Here is a 21,707-nt window from a genome sequence, read left to right on the forward strand (position 1 = left end):
AGAGGAGAGATGGGTAGAAATCTTAACTTCCTATCCTAGTCCCTAAAAATGGTAGAATTAAGGCCTACCAATAGTAGGAAGAAGATACATCTAGAAAGAAAATACACCTGAAGAGTATCTCCTTGTGTTAGGTTGCATAGAGTATGATTCTACCTAGCATACGTGCAATTCAAAATCTGAAGGATAGGTTGTATGGTAACTTCATGGCAGAGATGGATCTTATGTTTTATCCAGTACATCTTAAAACAGATGTCAGAAGCTCTGAATGAAACATTCTACTTTGAAATTAGTTTATTCATTCACTTATTCATTCAAAGAATATTTATAAAATACTCAGGATAAGTAAGGCACTATAGAAATAGGAAGAGCTTCAACCTTAGAGTCTCCAACAAATTGACCCATCTTGAAGGCTTATCTGGGAGATCACCAAGTTAGCTACTGCAGGACCTCTCTTCCCTGGTCAGTCACTTGAAGCAGCCACCTGCTTCCACCCCAGGATTAGTCACTAAACTGTGGGGAATATCAAAAGTAACTTCACCTGAGGAAAGGCTGGCTCTCCTTTTCCTACCTGTTCAAACAGATTCAGAAAATAGCAATTGTTTGGAAACTCACCAGAAAATAGCATATCAGTTTAAGAGATTATTTTTCAGACTGAGGTTGTTATTATATATTTTACATGTATATATATTTCAATATACATGCTGAGTGCCCAAAAGATGGGAATTGATGCACACTACTTAAAAAACAATAATCCTCAAAAGACAAACAATAATCTGCAAAACAACATTTATTTTTAGTTTCCTTTTTAGTAAGTTTTCTACTTCTTAATAATGAGATTAAAACTAGTCATTAAAAGTATTATAATTAACAATGTTAAATCCTAAGCAAGATACAAATGTCAATTTTAGAATTAGAAGGGAATTTAATGCACAAAGGAAAGATGTTATTGCATTTTATCCCATTTCTGAATGTTAGCTTTATAAAAAGCATTTCTATTAAAATCATACATGCAGTTTTTCTAATACTGAAGATATAAGCAGTAAAGTGATCTGGTCATTTTCTCCAAGGTTGAATTCTTCCCCCTATCATTGAGAAATATAGCCCACAGTATTTGGTGACATTTTCTGAGTTTATTTGCATGATATTCAATGTAAGTAAATACCAACTTTTTATTCTGTTGGTTTATCCTACCTTAATATTTGTTAAAATGCATTCATAATTGATTTATTGTAAGGTCAGAAAATGCTAGAAAATTGTATTTCTCTTATATGAACTACAAAATTAGGAAATTCTCTCAGGAAGACATTATAAAACATAATAGTTATAAAAAGTCACCCACACTACAGATAAAAGCAGCTAAGTATAATCGATTACTATTTTTTCCTACCTAAGATAGATCTGCTTTAACCAAGTCTTATGAGACTATGATATATGAGAATTCTGATATACCTGACAGATAAGCTAGAGGTGGTTATTTGCTTTATGAAATTATTCGTAATAGTTCACTTATAAAAAGTAACTTCTGGCGCTTTTAACATAATTGATTTATACATAACTTTTCAGAAATATATGTACCATGCACAATTATATCTCCATTTTAATAAATTTCTCTTTTTGTTTAAAACCAAGATTTAAAAATGTGTTCCCCAACTATCCTGAGCTCAGAGCATAAACCTTCCAGAGTGGAGCATGTGAAAGACACAGTGCTGTATTTTCCATGAATATTGTTAATGGCAGGAACTGAGAGGTATCCATGTGGCTGAGGCTAAAAAGCCCAAGCAGGGCTTTACCGGGCTATCTTGATCTTCACCACTGAGCCTGCTCTCAGATGCACCTGTAGCTTTATGAGATTCAAATTCAGTTCCAACTGGGCTTTGTCCATTTCTCTGGCTTTAGCAGTCCTTTTGCATGGGGTAAACTGGTTCTTGATGAGTCTTGCACCCTCTAGGACCCCTTATGTTGAAGGCAGCTCCAGGGACCTCTTAACACCCATTCTTTACATTCATTCATTCCAGTAGAGAGGGGCCTCGACAGACAAGCCACGCCCTAGAACTTCAGTCTCACTCCTGATGCACAGAAACCAGATATGAGCAGATGAAATTTGCCTGGAAATCTCAAGAGCCATTAACTTCTCTGAAGTGGGGTCCATCATGATAAGTCTGAACATCGTAGTAAAGATTGTCTCATTCTTATTCCTCATGATCTGATGATTGCATAGCAGAATATAACCACTTAATTCTGAATTGTCATGTTTTGTACAGATGGTTTGCTTTCAAATGATAAGACTTAATTGATCAGCATTCATAAGTAACTGTGAGTATTCGGCAACATTAATCAATCTAACATCAATGCTTAAAAATAAGCCCAGTGCATTATGTGGGAATAATTTTTCATCTGAGGCTACCTAGTAAAGAAATTGGTAGAGGATCAGCCAAAGAGACCTCAGAGTAATGGGACTCAAGTCAAATTGTCTCATGTTCAGGTTTACAGCCTCACCAGCCTTCAGTCAGCCTTCCTTGGAAAGAGTAATTCTGTATTTGTTAATAGGTTTACAGTAGCATATCAACTAACCAGGAAACTCTATAATTTTATTATCTTCTCTATTTATCACTATAGAATCAATGTGTATCCAGCTATTGAATCCTGTAATATAGGTCTACTGTTTAAAACTGCAGATTTTAAGTAAAATCCGTAAAATCTAGTTTACACAATAGAGTGGAATTGATCCTTCATTTAGTCATTTTCCATCCTGTAAAGAAAACAAGGCTTATTCTCATCTTCTAAGCTGGAGAGGAAAAATATAGAGAAAAGAAGAAAAAGAAGCCCAAGGAAGATAATCAGGAGGGTGCCTAGAAGCAGAGATGTTTATAGCTAAAAGGGATCTTGGAGACTCATCTAGCACCTACCAACTCCCACCTCCATGGCATTACCAATAAAGACACTGGGGCTAAGAAAGATTGATGTATGGTCTTGGCCAGGTCTCACATTGCACTGACCTGCAAATTTAAATGACTCCCCTGGATCAATGTTTTGGGATTTTTTTTGTTTTTTTTTAAATGCTTTCAGAAAAGGAGGAGGCTTAATCAATATTGGGGGGGGGGTTATTATTAGATATCACAAATTGTCAGGTCTATCTTTATTTGAAGGTAGAGGTAGCCTCAAGCACTTTAGTTGGGTTTGTTAAACAAGCAAGCAAAGCGGAAACTACAGCTAAGCATCTTCTGAATGAGATCATCATCACTATAGAAGAACCTATGTCAAAGATCTTCAACTCAAGAAGGAACAGTGAGGATTAGTTCCTTTATTGTCAGCGTCAGAACTGTGGCTTGGCCAGCCTCTTCTCTTAGGTAAGGCATGAGCACCCTAGGCTTCTTCTGTGTATCTCTTGCTGCTTAAATGTGTCTCCATTAGGGGTGTATATCCTTTTCGAAGTCTTCTATATTGAAGAAAAGCCAACAGCACAAAAAGACCAACCAAAGCCACCAGTGTTCCCATGACTACTAAGAGAGTTGTGGGCCAACCTGGAGTTTCTTCAACTGAAACTAAAGCAGAAGAGAAGGGTCTACAATCAGGATTTTCATCAGCTGAATACTTTCAGAAGAGAAAAAGAGCAAGCGCACTTGCCTTTCACGTGCTTTTTGTTGATAAAGCAAAACTACTCATGCTAGACTAAAATTTATCTTCTCCTTTCTCACCATTTATCATATCCACAATTGTTTTTCTTGGGGTAGTCAGAACTGGCATCCCATTACTTAAATACAGCTTATTGCATTTTAAAAATTTGTTACAATAAATGCTTATGCCGAAGAAACCTTCTAAGGAAGAATGTAACTACTTTTCTGAGTTAGAAACTCATTTGTGAAAGTGCATGCTAAAATGGCATCTGGGGAGCTGCAAAATATACAGCCCTTGGGAAGAGAAATTCTGCTATTGTCTCTACCTTTTTTATAGAATGATAAACCTGTGAGAGGGATCAGACTGGCTATTACACCAGGAGACACTCAATAACCAAGCAGATGATATTTATACCCATTCAAATAGTTGTGAATAAAATGTAAATCTCCCACATGATAAATCCAATCTTCTACTCTCATATATTTTATAAGCTCTCTTCCACAAAATTAGTGGATTTCATTTTTTGGTTTTTTTTTTTTTTTTTTTTTTTAGATAAAGTCTCGCTCTGTCGCCCAGGCTGGAGTACAGTGGCATGATCTCGGCTCACTGCAACCTCTGCCTCCTGAGTTCAAGCGATTCTCCTGCCTCAGCCTCCCGAGTAGCTGGGATTACAGGCACCCATCACCATGCTCAGATAAATTTTGTATTTTTAGTAGAGACAGGGTTTCGCCATGTTGGCCAGGCTGGTCTGAAACTCCTGACTGCAGGGAATCCACCTGCCTCGGCCTCCCAAAGTGCTGGGATTACAGGTGTGAGCTACTGCACCTGGCCGAATTTCATTTTTAATATACATATGCCTATTTTTCATTTATTTTAAAAATTATATTCTCCTTGGCCAACTGTTCTTAAATTCAGCTCCTCTGAATTTGTTCTATACCTTACACTCACCTAATATAAGATTCTCTTTCTAGTCCTTTTTCTGCAATCCCATGGGAGGTCCTGACCTGTCCTGATGGGATTCCTCCAAGAGGGTTTTGATCTGTCTCCTCCTGATTCAACCCAGCAGCACCTATTGCCAACTTCATCTTCTTAAAACACATATATTTTTATTCTGCCATTTCTTTGTTCAAGACCAAAAAATGGTTGCCTTTTGCTTTTGTCCAAATCCTCTTAGTTTTTTAAAAAATTATGTTTTAGAAATTGTTGTAACATATATGTAACATAAATTTGACCACCTTGACCATTTTTAAATAGGCAGTGCAGTGGCATTAAGTACATTCACATTGTTGTGCGACCATCGCCACCATCCATTCTCAGAACCTTTATATCTTGCAAAACTGATACATTGTGCCCACCAAACAGTAACTCCCTATTCTCCCCTCCCAACCCCTGGTAACCAGGGGTCTCTATGAATTTGACTATCTCATAGTCTAAGTGGAGTCATGCAGTATTTGTTCTTATGTCTGGCTTATTAAACTTAGCTTAGTGTCCTCAAAGTTCATCCATGTTGTGGCATGTATCAGAATCTCCTTCCTTTTTGAGGCTGAATAATATTCCACTGTATGTATGTACCACATTTTGTTTATTCATTCATCCACTAACAGACACTTGGTTTGCATCTACCTTTTGGCTATTGTAAGTAATGCTGCTATGAACATGGGTGTGCAAATATCTCTGCTGGACCTTGCTTTCAGTTCTTTTAGGTATACCAGAAGTATAATTGCTGGGTCATATGGTAATTATTTGTTCCATTTTTTTGAGGAATCCCCATACTGTTTTCCATAGTGGCTGCACCATTTTACATTCCCACCAGCAATGCACAAGGATTCCAATTTCTCTACACCCTCAGCAACACTTACTATTTTCTATTTTTTTTTGATAGCAGTCATCCCAATGGGTATGAGGTGGTATCTTATTGGGGTTTCTGCCTGGCATCTAAGGCCCTCTGTACCTAGGCTCTTTCATAAATTTGAACTTAATTCGAGGTAATTCTCTGCCCAAGCGTCCCACTACAGCCAGGCTTGAAAGACTCAGGTCAAAGAGAGAGAGACTGAGCTCTGAAATCATCTTGATTGCTTTCTAGGCTGAGACTTTGGGTAAATAGGCTGTGTGATTTTTCACCTTCTTGATTAAGATTTTTTAAATTGTTTTGTTTTTGTTTTTTTGGGTTTTTTTGAAACAGGGTCTCACTCTGTTGCCCAGACTGGAGTGCAGTGGCACAAACAGGGCTCACTGTAGCCTCTACATCCTGGGCTCAAGCGATTCTTCCACCTCAGCCTCCCGAGTGGCTGAGACTACAGGCATGCACCACTATGCCCAGCTAATATTATTTGAATTTTAGCAGAGATAGGTCTCAGTATGTTGCCAGGCTCCTAACATTCTTTAAATGGTGTGTGGAGCCATATTGGGGCCTGGGCCAAAAAGAAAAACATGTGCCCTGTATATACTTGTCAAAATATCCTCCCATATGTTGAACCAAGTGGGAAAAGTTAATAAGAAATCTACAATCTTAAAACATGACTTTAAAAACAGTAACTAATGCAACATACACATAGAGTCCCACGTAGCCCAATCTGTTGGTAGACCAATCAATGTCAGCCTTCATGAACCTATCCATCGCAGGTGGTATAGGCTAAATGGGAAATGACTGATTCAGTTATAAGACGATGTGGGTATGAAAAACAAACAAAAGTCTGCCTTTATTTAAAATTTTGATGATGTATTATTCATGGTTAATTTTTTGCATTAATTTTGACTTTCCAAAATTTTGTATTATATTATTACTTACCTTGATTACTGAGTTTTCTGGCCTCCTCTTGAATTTTGTGCTCAAGGCAAATGTTGTACTTTCCTCACCCTAATCCCAGCCCTGCCCTCAAGGAATAATCTCTAAATCCAGCTAGTCCCTGTACAGTGTGGCTAGTTCATTTTTATTTCATTGGTTAGAAATTTCAAAGAACCATAGGGAGGTTTTTTATTAATCCAATAAACTCAGAGAGAATTGTCAAGTCAGGTGTAAAAGCAGATAGTTCATTTAATAAGATCTATTTAAAACTTTCAGTTTTCTAAAACAAGAGTCAGCTCATTAGTCCCTTTCTGATGTTTAATTGGTAGTTTAAAGGCTCATTTTGCTAAATACGTATATGCTAGAAAAATGGTCAATAAACTTAACTAGACCTGAAAGCTTCGGCTAAAGGTCTTGGTTTACATTATAAAGAAAGAAAGCAAGAAAGCTAGCTTCTTTAGAAGATGAATGAATCACCCATTTGGAAGTTGTGTTAGTTACCTGGCAGATCGATGGCATAGCTGTAGCCAAGTTGGTCTGAGGTTAAAAAGAGTTCTTCATTAGTCACTGGAGGGAAGAAAGGAACCATGTTGTACATCCGATTGTGACCAATAGGGGCCAGCTCCTGAGGCCAGGCATCTGCAGGAGGATTAAATCTTTTCATCCACTCATCAAAGATGGCATCAGTAAAGGAATGAAGAACCTGCAAAACAGTTGGACACAGCATTTAACATAAATCAGTCTGTTCCGATCACACCAACCTGACTGTTGCTTTCTCTAAAGTGGAATAACTTCTTCTTGACATAGGAACTTCTGTATACCCATGTGTGGAATACCCCCTTCTGTGTACCACCATGAGGAAGCCCAAATCAACTCATATAGAGTGACTATGATGGCGAGGATCAAGATTTCGGGAAGAAAAACAGTTAAGTTTTCAACGATGTATGAATCTCTCTCTCCAAGCAGGACTATAAACCCCTTTGTCAAGTGAGCAAATGAAAGTTCATGTTGGATTTAACATTGGTTGCAGATTGAACATTTGAGGCCTTCAACATATATGTGTTAATTATGAAATTCAGAAAAAGGCAAGTATGATAAGATACATGTTCTAGTATTGAGATGATTTGGTTTAACAGGAGAGAAAGAAAAAGTTGTGTTTACAGGTTGAGTATCTGAAATCTGAAAATTTAAAACCTAAAATCCCCCTAAACCTGAAACTTCTTGAGTGCCAACATGACACTTGAAGGAAATGCTCATTGGAGCATTTTTGAATTTTTTGGATTTGGGATTCTCAACTGGTATAATGCAAGTATTCCGAAATCTGAAAAAATTCAAAATCCCAAACACTTCTGGTCCCAAGCATTTCAGATAAGTGATACTCAATCTGTATCAATATTATAATATAAAGGAACAGTAAATTTTTCTCACCAGGAATACTCTTCTGTCTACTCATTTCATAAACTCTCACTTGAATTCTTGCTGTTATGCCAGCAAAAGAAAGTCTAAAAAGGTAATGTACAAAGTGCTCATTTATGTTTTCTCAAGGAAGCCATTAAAGTCCTTTTAAAATATAGCAATTACTATATGTTTTGAAATATTAACAGCAAAATTTCCACATTGATAGCCCTGATTTTGTAACATGATACAAGTTTGAGAGTTCAGTCCCACCTTGATGGCAGTTGTTGGAGTTCCTTGTTCCTTCCTGGATGGTAAGTTCAAGGAGCTCAGGGGCAGTGTCCTTTTTTCATTCCCCCTGGATCCCCAGAGCTTGTCACCCCAGGGTGTCTCATATGGAGAAAGGGAGGTACTTATTTCAGTAAATACTTATTCAGTGTATTCATTCCTCCATTCACCACTGTACCTTGTACCTCATTTATAGCACTGATCAAATGATACTATAACTTGTTATTTATGTATCTATGTCCCCTAACAAGATCCTAACTCCTTAAGGTCTAAGATAAGGACTTTTCACCTTTGAAGTCTCAGGTTTAGTATACAACCTGGACAGAGTCAATGTTTACTAACTATGTGTTTGCTGATGACAGTGTCATGCAGACACTTTGCATACAGTGCAAAGCTTAGCATACAACCTGGACAGAGTCAATATTTACTAAGTATGTGTTGGCTGATGACAGTGTCATGCATCTTTATTTACATAAACAGTTTGTGCAAATAAACAGTGTCTAGGGATATACAAAAATATATTTTCCAAAGAAGGCCACACAATGTTTGTTTCTTGACTAACATGCTTTTCTAGAATCTTGCCACTCCCTCATTGAAGGTTGGCTTCATCTGGCCTTCCCTTGAAACTTGGTGAGTTTCTGACTCTTTTATAACCAATAAAATGCAACAGAAGTGACATTTTGTGACTTTCAAGGTTAAATCATAAAGTGTATTGCAGTTCCTATCTTGTGCCTGAGCCCTGAACCATCAAATAAGCAGTCCAGCTGTCCTGAGGCAGCCATGCTGTGAAGAAGCCCAAACCAACTCATATAGAGTGACCATGATGGCGAGGCTCAAGATTTCAGGAAGAAAAACAGATAGCGGGCCAGTCCACAGCTGTTCCAACACCTATCACCATCTGACTGCAGCTGCACTGAAAGATGCTAGGCTAGAACTGCCTAGTCAAGCCCTTCCAAAATTCCTGACCCACAGAAATGGTAAGAAATGAAATGGTCACCTTCAAGCCACTGAGTGTTTGGGTAATCGTAATCTGTTATGCAGAAATGGATAAACACAACAAAGGAAAAAAACCTGAGTAGAGCCTCCCAGGCTCATGGTTACCAGCACATGCAGGGAAGGGAGTTCCTTGGTCGCTTTCTCTTTTCTGTTGAGACACAAAATTTAATAGAAATTTTGTTTGTAGTTCTTACATTCTCAGTGTGAGCTGAATTGGGACCCGCTGCCCCATGCAGAAGTGGCCCATTCCTGGAGGCAGGGGAGAAACTGTGGGGGGGCGGGGTGAAATGGGAAGAGCCCCATTCTTCCTCAGTGTTGGGGGGCTAGAGATGCCACCCCCTTTTCCTGGCCCCCTCTGGGTTCCAGGAAGGAGAACAGATGGAATGTCAGGCCTGAGACTTCTCCTCCACACTGCTGCCCCCTGGGTGGGAGGGTAGCTAAGAGATCCAGACAGAGAATGAGAAGGCAGAGGTGGTGAAACGGGGATAGTGACGCAGCTTGAGATGAATAAAACACAGCCTGTGGAGCTGATGATCCAGGATCACAGAGGTCTGTAAACCTCAACAGTGGACACCAATAACATGGCACTGAGAAGGTAGGGAAGATAATATATATTAGGTACCTAGTACACAGCACCTTTCTTGTAGGAAATGGTTATTCAATGGTTGTTATCACTATGACTATACCATCAGTACTATTATTATTTTAACTTGGGACAAGGACTTATGGAAGAAGAATGATGGAATTCGCATTTTGCAGGTGGGTGGGGCCTGCAAGCACCTCTGAAATCACACACACTGTACATATAGCCAATGAGGAGCTGGGCATTTAGGAATGCATGTGGCACATGCCTAGCACTTTTTGATAAGTAAATTAGTGAGTATTTATTAGTGTTTGCTCAATTACCCAAAATGACATATTGAATCCTCAAAGCAGCCTGATTTGGTGGATATTATTTGTTTGCTCAGGCTGCTGTAACAAAGTACTACAGACTGGGTGGCTTAGACAACAGGCATTTGTCTTACGGTTGGAGACAGTGTCTCGCTTCTAGGCAGCTGGAAGTCCAACACCAAGATGTCAGTGGGGCTGGTTCCTTCTAAGCACTGTGAGGGAAAATCTGTTCCAGACCTCACTCCTACCTTCTCGGGCCTTGCTGACAATCTTTGGCATTCCTTGCCTTGTAGATCTCTATCTTCATCCTCATGCAGTGTTCTCCCTGTGTGCAGGTGCCTATGTCCAAATTTTCCCTTTTTATAGGGACACCACTCACACTAGATTAGGGACCTACTCTACTCCAGTATGACATTTTATGTTAATAAACTATATCTGCAGCTATCCTATTTCCAAACAAGGTGACATTCTGAGTTATTAGCTATTAGGACTTTGACATATGAATTTTGTGGGGGACAATTCAACCCATAACATTATTACCCTGTTTTACAGATGGGGAATAAAAGGCACAAAAGTGTTAAGTGACTTGCCTAAGGTCACACAGCTAATATATGGTAGAGTAAGAATTTGAACCCAGGAAGTCTGGTTCTAAAGTGAGAGTTCCTAATCCACATACTCTACTTCCTCTACACCACCGGTCCCCAACCTTTTTGGCACCAGGGACTGGTTTTCGAGGAAGACAATTTTCACGGACCAGGGGGTGGTGGATGGGAAGGGAGATGGTTTCAGGATGAAATTGTTCCACCTTGGATTATCAGACATTAGTTAGATTCTCATAAGGAGTGTGCAACCTAGGGCCCTCTCAGGTGCAGTTCATGATAGGGTTTGCACTCTTATGAGAATCTAATGCTGCTGATCTGACAGGAGGCGGAGCTCAAGTGATAATGCTCAATTGCTTACCATCCACCTGCTGTGTGGCCCAGTTCCTAAGAGGCCACAGACCAGCATGGGCCCATGGCCCAGGGGTTGGGGACCCCTGCTTTACACCACCACACTGTAGTACAACCTTCAGGACCAACTAGAATAAGAAAAATTGATTTTGAAGGCATATTCTCCAATCTTAACAATGCAGAAAGAGGATACTTTGACCTATGAGTCCTAAACCAATCATGAACTTTTAGATACTGTCTGAGTTCAAGTCAGGGTTCAAATTGTGATGACAGAAAGAGACAAGAGACTATCAGGACACAAGGAAGATGCAGAATCAGTGCTGTAAGAGGCAAATAACTTATAGAAAGTATCAGAATTCACCAAGGGAAAAATGTAAATAATAAAGGAGAAGGCAAGATCCTAAGGCAATTAGTAATCTGGAGAGATAAAAGAATAGGGGAAAATAATAAGGAGGAATTGAAATTGTAGCTCTCAGGAGGGCTATAAAACATACAATAAATGCTCTAGTAAGGCTGCACACAGTGGCTCATGCCTGTAATCCCAGCACTTTGGGAAGCTGAGGCAAGAGGATCACATGAGCCCAGGAGTTCGAGACCAGCCCCAGCAACAGAGTGAGACCCCATTTCTACAAAAATTTAAAAATTAGCTAGGTGTGATAGTGTGTGCCTGTGGTCCCAGCTACTTGAGGCTGAGATGCGAGGATCATTTGAGCCCTGGAAGTCAAGGCTGCAGTGAGCTATGATTGTGCCACTGCACTCCAGCCTGAGTGACAGAGCGAGATACTGTCTCAACAACAACAACAACAACAACAACAAAGCTCTAGTAAGAACTATATACAGAGTACCCAAATTATAGAATGTAAGTTTTTTTGAAAAGACTGGTACATGCTGAGAAAATGCAAAGCATCCAATGAACAAAATGCTACAAGCAATAACATATCTACAAGCTAAAAAGAGAAGTAGTACAATCTACGGAATAGGTAGTTTTGTTAAAATTGTGGGCATTATTCCTCAATAAGGTACCTTGAATTGCTCTTGAAAAACTAATTGTATCTTTGTTAAATACAAGTTAAAAATGTTAAATACAAGTTAATATCTCTGTAAAGGGTCAAATGTCATTTGAGGGTAGGAAACAAAAGCAAAAGTTAAATGAAAGTGTATCATTGGGCTGGGCATGGTGGCCCACACCTGTAATCCCAGCACTTTGTGAGACTGAGGTGGGAGGATCACCCGAGGTCAGGAGTTCGAGACCAGCCTAGCCAATATGGTGAAACCCCATCTCTACTAAAAATACAAAACATTAGCTGGGTGTGGTGGCGTGCACCTGTGATCCCAGCTATTCGGGAGGCTGAGGCAGGAGAGTCACTTGAACTCGGGAGGTGGAGGCTGCAATGAGCCAAGAACGCACCACTGCACTCCAGCCTGGACCACAGAGTGAGACTCCATCTCAAAAAAAAAATAATAATAATAAATAAATAAATTTGTATCATTGGTGCCTTTCATCTGCTCGAGGGCTACATAGCTACGTTTTGGTATTAGAAACTGAGTACTTCAGAAATGAGGTTCCGAATTTTGGCATATAAACCTATTCTGTCTTGTTCCAACAAAATGAGGATAGGTACAGAAAAGGAAAAAAAAAACAACACTAAATTTCAAAGTAGAGGCCATAATGGAAAAAAAAATGTGATTACATGGGCTTTCAAGGTAAAGATTTTTCATGTAACCCATGCAGGAGAAAGTAATCAACCAACAAATATTGCACCTGCAGGCATAAAGAAAATAAAATACAAGAAAGTGTGCATTATTTTTTCAAGATCATTGGAGGATAAAGTTACTATCAAAGGGCCTTAGCTTAAATGACTATAAATTTGGATTCCCACCACACAGATGAAATAAGAAAAGTTTCTGCATCTAGAGAAAGAACCATGGAAATATGAGGCCGGCTGCAAAGATGTGTGTGCATCATTAAAGACCAGCACAGTGTAGCTTTCACCACTTGAGTTCATGTGTTACTGCCCAGAAGGCATCCTTTGTCATCAGACTGGATCCTATTGTGGTGACATGCTATTGCTCTGGTCCTCTGAGAGTCAGAACTAAGTGACAATTCAAATGTGATCACTTAAAAGCCACATGACAGATAAAAGCACACACAGGTCCATATGGGAACTCTAATTTAAAACTTAAAGTAGAAGGTATACATTAAAAGGTTGGTTTGGACTTTTTAAATGAGAGAATTCCTAATGGTCATTCCTAAAAAATATATTTCATCAGGCTTGCTATTTTAGGGAAATATCTTGTCTTGTTCTACCAAAGATTTGAAAACAAATGTAATTGGGATGCTGGTTTCACACTGCCCTAAATAGGCCATATGTAATAGGCATGAAATAGTTAAACAACACCCAAGCCTTTATTTAATTAACTAAGCTCTGCCACAAGGAGGTGGGTACTACACAGAGAGAATATTTCAGTGACTGATGAGAAACAATCTCCTATGGACTCAATGTGTGTGCCCTACCCCGAACAAATTCATATTTTGAAATCCTAACTCCCAGTGTGATGGTAATAGGAAATGGGGCCTTTGGGAAATAATTAAGCCATAAGGATGGGGTTCTCATGAATGGAATTAGTGCCCTTACCAAAGAGACCCAGAGAGCTCCTCCCTTTCAGCTACGTGAGGACAAGCAAGAAAATGGCCGTTATGAGCCAGGAAGAAGTTCCTCACCACACGCTGAATCTGCTAATGCCTTGATCTTCAACTTCTCAGCCTCCAGAACTGTGAGAAATAAATGTTGTTTAGGCCACCCAGTCTCTGGTATTTTTGTTTTAGCAGCCTGAATGGACTAGGACACAACCACGGAAGAGAAAAAAAAAGATATTGGAGCAATAATAGCATCTTCCAGGCAGGGCGCAGCAAGGATGGTGCTATAATTTTCTCTCCCTATATTTCCCTATCCATTCTTTTATAGCACCCTGGGCAGGCAAAACAGAGAGTATTTCTCAGGCATTTTGGAGGAGTTATATCAGGAACACATTCTCCCACATAGACTTGTATAATAGCCTTGTATACTATATGTGTGTAAAAATGTACACAATATACATTGTATACAAGCTCTAACAGCACACATACAAAAAAAAATCGAGAGAATTAGAAATGCTGATTCTAAACCCTTGAGGAAAAAAAGCTTCTTCTTCAAGAATTAAACTCTGAACAGATGCAGAGGACTACAGAAAGACTCTGCTAGGTCAACTTTAAAAGAAGTGACCAGTTCAACATGCATCATAAGTTGACATTACGGATTGGAGAAAGAACCAAGGTGATGCTAGAAGAGATTCTAGACAGAGACTAAGCTACCTCTCAGGCCATTCTTGACTAAACAATCATGAAAACTCTAGGAGAGAGTTGCTCAACTCAATGCTAGAACCATCTTAGATTTGTATGTAAGTTGTGGTTTGTTATTATATTCATATTTTATCAGAATGAATTGGATGTAATTCATAGGTTTAGTTCTTCTCAATATAGTATGCATTTATCCTTATAAATTCTAGAGTTGAAGAGAATCCATTCAGGTGACATTTAGCACCTGTGAAATTAAAGAAAACAAGCCAGCCCCCAGCCTAGTCCATAGAAACACTGCCACCCTGGGGAACCAGAGAGGGGTCCAGCCACCCTCTCTGATTCCTCAGCTCTTATAAAACTCATCAAGATGTTATGCCACTTAGGAGGTAGTAACTGTGTACCTGCTATTTAAAAACTAGTATTGAATAAGTAAATGTGACATTTAAAAAGCATAAATACATGCTCACAATGAAAGCAATGACTATCATTTCAAAAGCTGTGCAAAATTAGTCAGATCTGCCCTTCACCAATTAGTGTTAATTCCTATTAATATGATCTAACGGGACTTAATTTCCTCAGCTATAGTGAATGCAATTGTGAAGAGACTGAGTTAAGAATTGTCTAAACTGACAAAAGGCAAAATTGTAGTTGAAAGATTGAACACGGGGAGATTTTTGAATAGGAAACTTTTCTTATAAATCTCTGCTCAGCCATTTACTGATTGGTGTGACCTTGACACATTTCTTAGCCTCTCTAAACTGTATTTTCCCTGTGTTTAAAACAAGGAGAGTAGTTTACTATATACAGATTTGTTCATTTAAGAGGTGAGCTTTGCAAGACATCTCGCATAGGGGCCATCACAGAATAGATGTACAATAATAGGACATTCTCCTCACAAAAATGTACAGAACATCTACTAAGTGTCAGGTACTGTTCTAGAGGTTGAGTATGTTTTCAGTGATCACATTCATTTTCCATAAACTAATAAAACCTACAAAATACATCTTTACATGACCAGATTATTAGGTTTTCCAGGAAAATAAAATATTAAAAGAAAATGTTGTATTTTGTTACTCACACAGAGGACGAATTACTTTCCCTAATTCTGACTTTTTTGAATATTTAGGGTTTTTTTTTTCTTTTTCCAGAAGTCATGATCACAAACAAAAGTTATGAAGACAGATCACAGAAAAGGAGGTGCAAATGGATTTTTTCTTTTTGAATGTCTGAAAAGATGCTGGACTTCACTTTTTTTTTTGAGACAGAGTTTCGCTCTTGTCACCCAGGCTGGAGTGCGATGGCACGATCTTGGCTCACTGCAACCTCCACCTCCCGGGTTCAAGTGATTCTCCTGCCTCAGCCTCCCAAGCAGCTGAGACTACAGGTGCCTAACACCACACCCGGCTAATTTTTGTATTTTTAGTAGAGACAAGGTTTCACCATGTTGGCCAGGCTGGTCTTGAACTCCTGACCTCAGGTAACCCACCCACCTCAGCCTCCCAAAGTGCTGGGATTACAGGCGTGAGCCACTGCATCTGGCCTAGACTTCACTTATAAGAAGAGAAATGCAAATTAAAATTTGCTAAAATGCCTTTTCACCTATCACGTTGACAAAGATGAAAAAGTGTGATGACACAGGGACAAAGAGCATAATGAGAGGGAATGATGGGGGAACTGTGGCTCTGACACATAGGTGACACACAGGTATTAGGAGGGAATATTGTCCAAACTTCTAGAGGCAATTCTGTAACATTTATCAAATTTCAAATGCATTTTTTTACCCTTTAAGCCAGGGATTCTATTCTCTTTACTTACCTTACATGTTCAAGGATGTTTGTTGTAGCATTGTAAAGCAAACGATTAGAAATCACCTAAATGTCCATCAACAGAAAATAGTTTAAAATCTTAAATTTAAAATTAAAATAATACATTTCAGGATAAATCCATGCAAAAGAATACTATACAGCTATAAAAAAAGAATAAGAATGCCCTTCAGAACTGAAATGATTTGGAATAAGTTAAAAAAAAAGTGGGGGAAAGGCAAAGGGACAGAGGGGTCTATAATATGCTACCATGTAGATAAATATATAAACATATTTGTTTGTGTATTTATAAAATATATCTGGAAAATTAGAAAAAAATTGTATTGTTTGCTGGAAGATGGTAGTGATAATACGGACTTCATTTTATACATTTTATATTTTGAATCTTTTATGTGCACTAAGATTTTAAGATGAAAAAATTTAGAAAACTATGCAACAACCTAAAAATTAAATAAATTAAGTGATAATGGGATATTATACATAATAGGTGCCTTATAGAGATGGTCCTCTGAATCCAATTATAAGTAATCTAGACATGATTTAGAGTATACAGAAGGATGTGCGTACCTTATATGCAAATATAATGCCATTTTATATAAGGGACTTGAGTAGTCACAGATTTTGGTACCCATGGTGGGGGGTCCTGGAACTAATTCCCTCAAGATATTGAGGGATGACTATAATTGCAACTGTATAAAACATATGAGAATATGAAAAGAAATAAACAAAAAAATTGAGATGGAATTACAGGCATTTAAAAACTATTTTCACCAACATTTCTGTAATTATAAATAATATAAAAATCATAAACCAATAAAAATAAAAATTTCACATACAACAATGTTATTTTATTTTTTTACAATATTAGTCTAATTATGATTTTTCTTATTTAAAGTAAAGCAAAATGGATCTATCTTTAAATGTTTCACTCTTGGGAAGAAAAAAGCAATGCCCTATTGATATGGTTTAGCTGTGTTCCCACCCAAATCTCATCTTGAATTGTAGCTCCCACAGTTCCCACATGTTGTGGAAGGGATGTAATTGAATCATGGGGGTGGGTCTTTCCCATGCTGTTCTTATGATAGTGAATAAGTCTCATGAGATCTGATGGTTTTATAAATGAGAGTTTTCCTGCACAAGTTCTCTCTTGGCTGCCACCATGTAAGATGTGCTTTTCACCTTCCACCATGATCGTGAGGTCTCCCCAGCCACATAGAACTGTAAGTCCATTAAACCTCTTTTTCTCTATAAATTACTCAGTCTCAGATACATCTTTATCAGCAGCATGAAAACAGACTGATACACCTATCCTTCTTTTTTTAAATTTCAACTAAACTCACTCTAACTCAGAATTATTTATACCTGTAATTGTGAGCTTTTGATTTCACTAACTTTGTTGTAGCCTAGAACAGCAGACTCAGAAGGGCTCTTTCTTACAGGGTTAATTTATGGTAGTCCATCAGCTATGTGTGGTTTTAGAAATTCATTTTCTCCTGCTGCACATTTTCTAAATTAATGAACTTATTTTATACACTGATTAGTAATAAGACTACTGTATGTTGTATTCCATTTAGAATGTCAACGTACAAGGTAGAAAACAGGCACGAGCTGTTTAGTATTAATTATGGAACCTATGGACCCCCCAGCCACTGATGAATTGAAGGAACGTAGAACTCACCAAATGTACTTTCTAAAAGGATAACATCCAAGTATACTCTTAAGAATAGTATCTTTAGGAATTGGGAAGGAAATTACCACTATGTAACACAGTTTCTTTCTTGGCATTTAAATAACTTTACAGTCTGTTGGTTTCCTTTTTTTTCTCTTTTCTGGATTATATCTAAATTTAATATTGAAGACAGCACTTAGCATTTCTCTGGCCTAATCTTATTTTCCATGATAAATGTGTGCATTTGCCTCAATTACCTTAGGAATTACTAGAGATTGCTTCAGAGTTTTTCCTGCACTTTAATGTTCTGCCTTCTTTTGCTCATTATTGTGATCACATACAATTTTGTAGCTCTATTGCTTGGAGAGATTTCACAAAAAAAATTTTAATAAATGTCATGTGCAATATATTTGCATGAATTGCCTCATGAATTTGAAATTCCAGAAGCTATAACTCTGTTAACTGAAATACTTTAACCTGGATCTCAATATGTGAAAAATCATTTAAGGCTGAATTGGCTTCAGCATAAAACTCTTTGAAAATAGCCTAAAGTAATGGTGAGTTCTGGAACTAGGCCCAAAACATTATTCATTCTGTGCCTTTAAAGAAACGCTGTGGCTTTTTGTTTATTTATATGTATATTACACATACTACTAAAGAAAAATAAAATTTTAACATTAAGCACATTAGAAACAACGAACACAAAGATGATTAAATGTCTTATATCTCTGAACCACGGGATTTCTCACCCATCAAGTCACAATGTGAGCTTCCACCCTAAAGCAGAAGGAGAAATATGACTAAAGGGAAATCCCTACTACAGGCCAGATATGGTGACTCACCCAGTGCTTTGGGAGGCCAAGGTGGGAGGATTGCTTGAGGCTAGGAGTTCTGAGACCAGCCTAGGCAACATAGTAAGACCTCATCTCTACAAAAATAAAAAATTTAAAAAGCTGAGCATGGTGGTATGTGGCTATAGTCCTAGCTACTTGGGAGGCTGAGGCAGGAGGATCACTTGAGCCCAGAAGTTTGAGGCTGCCGTGAGCTATGATTATGCCACTGCATTTCAGCCTGGGCAACAGAGAGAGACTGTCTCTTAGAGAGAGAGAGAGAGAGAGAGAGAGAGAGATTCCTACTATCCTTACTACAAACTAATACAAAGAAGAAAAGTGAATCCTTTACACCACAGGTTGATAAATTAAAGCCTGAGGGCCAAATAGAGCCTACAACCTGTTTTTGTAAATAACGTTTTATTGGAACACCACATTCATTTGTTTATGCATGATCTATGGCTGATTTCATGATACAGGGGCAGAGTTCAGTAGTTACAACAGAAAACATCTGGCCTCCAAAGCCCAGAATATTTGCTACCTGGCTATTTACAGAAAAATGTTGCCAATTTCTGTCCACTTAGCAGGCTTGTTCAAAAGAAGGAGATACGGTTTAGCAATCCTGGAGACTTGGGATGCAGAAAATCAAATTACTAGCATCATTTTTAATAGGAGAGAAAGAGTTGGGGTATAATCCTTAATTTATCAGAGGATTCCACTGTTCTACTTATAACATATTGGAGTACTGGATAAGGAGTATTATGACATTTTTCCTTATGAATATGAATTGTGTGTATAAATTGTACAGTTGACAATGTATGCTTTAATAAATACTTAGAGACGTATAGTATAAATAGATGTACAGATACATGGCTGAGAAAGCAGACACCAGAAATGCTTGGCATAAGCTATGGCTGAGACGATAGCCAGAAAAAATGATGTGAACTATCAAGTTAAAATCATTGAACAAAGCAGGCATTCTAGAGAAAAGCAAAGATCGCTGTGGCGGCGTCACAGATAAGCCCCCACCTTGTTAGAGGCTGGGACCATTAATTCAGACTTCTGACAACCCCTTCATTTATTGCTACTATGCAAATATGAGGAAAGAAACATTTTTTAGAAGGAAAGAACAACTCTACCAACTAATTCCGTCTCAGGATTTCTTGAAGCTCACCTGACTATGCTTTAATCTATCTAGGAGCCCCAGAAAGCTACTTCACACCCATCAGGCAAGCTTAGAATCATTGAAAGCTATACCTTTACTCTCCCTCTTCATAGCTCCTTTTTTTGTACCCTGGGTTGAGTAACAATAATAAATCACCTGTGAAATACTTCTGACTTTGTGCTTATTAGTAAAATGTCTTAGGGCATTACTGTCTGCTTTGGAGAACAAGATAAGAAATATTAATTAAGGTTTGAAAATCTAAACCTAACATATGGTTCTCTAATTCTGACCATTATAAAACACATTATTATTGTTATGATAACATTTGTATTGTACTTGACGGGCTCTAGACCAGTTTCCTATTGTCCTAATCTACTAAGAGTCACTTCACTGAGAACAACATTTTCACCACCAGATCAGGTCAAGAGACCCACACTTTGCAGAGTGGGAAGCAGAAGCTCCATGTGGTTCAATTACATTCCCAAGATTGCCCTGGTCTGTATCAAGTAAAACTGATTGACTTGTAATCAGTCATGAAGCCTCCAAAAAGTCCAGAAAAACAAACTTCTGGCTGGGTGCATTGGCTCACGCCTATAATCTCAGCACTTTGAGAGGCCGAGGCCCGAGGATCACTTGAGGTCATGAGTTCAAGACCAGCCTGGCCAACATGGCAAAACCTTGTCTCTACTCAAAATACAAACATTAGCCAGGCGCAGTGGCACGTGCCTGTAATCCCAGCTACTCGGGAGGCTGAGGCAGGAGAATCACTTGAACGCAGGAGGCGGAGGTTGCAGTGGGTCAAAATTGCACCACTGCATTTCAGCCTGGATGACAGAGAGAGACTCCGTCTCAAAAAGAAAAAAGAAAAGAAAAACAAACTTCTATAAACTGATGGTTTGACAATGCATTATAAATGCTATATCTGGACTGAACTGTGTTTCCCCAAAATCTGTGTGTTGAAGCCCTAACCCACAATGTGACTATACTTGGAGATAGAGCCTAGAAAGAGGTAATTAAGGTTTAATGAGGTCAGAACCATAGGGCCCTGGATTAGTGTTATCATAAAAGGAGGCATCAGAGAGTTTATTCTCTCTCTCCCTCCACTATATGAGGATGCAGCTAGAAGGCTCAGGAAGAGAGTCTTCACCAGGAACCAAATCAGCTGGCACCTTGGTCTTAGACCTCCTGGCCTCTAGAACTGTGGGATATAAATTTCTGTTGTTTAAGCCATCCAATCTGTGGTCTTTCATTATGGCAGCCTGAGCAGACTAAGACACATTGCTAAGATTAACATTAAGGTGAGGAAAATTCTGGAGAAAAACAGAGAGTCTTTGGATATCACACAATCTAACTGGATAACAATATAAACTCAAAATACTGGCAAAATAAAAAAGGAGAAGAGGTGAAATTTCTTCTTGTAATTGCTCCAAAACTATCTATTCAAGACATACAACTCAGAAGACACACAGACAGGGTTAAAATAGACGAGGGTGAGTTGCGTATCTGTAAAGCAGGAGCACTTTTGGGGATTGGCTGCTGAGACATGAATGTGTATGTTGTCTAAATCTCTTATGACAACTTGAGTGACCTGTACTTAGAAAAGCAGCCCCTGACATTCAAGAGCTGGCCTGGCGCTATCAACGAGGACTTGATGTCCCCCTATCAGACATAAACGATTTCGTAGAACATCGACAGCAGACAAGGCCACTCTGTGACCATGACGGATCAGGACAAAAACAAGAAAACCCCATAACCGTGTCTGAGCACAGACAAATTATGAACATTGTCCAAGATGCAAGATGCGTGACACCCCCTTTCCCGGCTAATATGAGCATCTGCTGCTGTTTTACCAATTATGGCTTTAACCTCAGTCTAGTCTGCCCCATATACAGACATAATCACTCTATCAAGATACCCACTCATAGAATCAGGAAGCATACCCCTGCTTCCTGACAACATCTGA

General features: G+C 38.6%; 1 protein-coding gene across 10 annotated transcripts in view; it reads right to left on the reverse strand.

Annotated features, from left to right (window-relative positions):
• Positions 1–276: 276 nt before the first annotated feature.
• The window catches only part of DCT (dopachrome tautomerase), a 112,596-nt gene continuing 91,165 nt past the window's right edge, over positions 277–21,707 (reverse strand). For 7 of the 10 annotated variants that reach the window (NM_001322182.2, NM_001322185.2, NM_001322183.2 and 4 more), the window contains 2 exons: positions 6,902–7,103; positions 277–3,542 (listed from right to left, as the gene is read on the reverse strand). In NM_001322182.2, coding sequence (NP_001309111.1) covers positions 3,364–3,542; positions 6,902–7,103 — 381 coding nt within the window. In that variant the 3' untranslated portion in view covers positions 277–3,363. Of the gene's footprint in view, positions 3,543–6,901; positions 7,104–9,154; positions 9,228–16,072; positions 16,129–21,707 lie in introns of those variants that run through there. The other 3 variants (NM_001129889.3, XM_017020401.3, XM_047430115.1) reach the window with 3 other exon arrangements.

Source organism: Homo sapiens, chromosome 13 (genome assembly GCF_000001405.40).
Source record: "Homo sapiens chromosome 13, GRCh38.p14 Primary Assembly".
Lineage (NCBI taxonomy): Eukaryota > Metazoa > Chordata > Mammalia > Primates > Hominidae > Homo > Homo sapiens.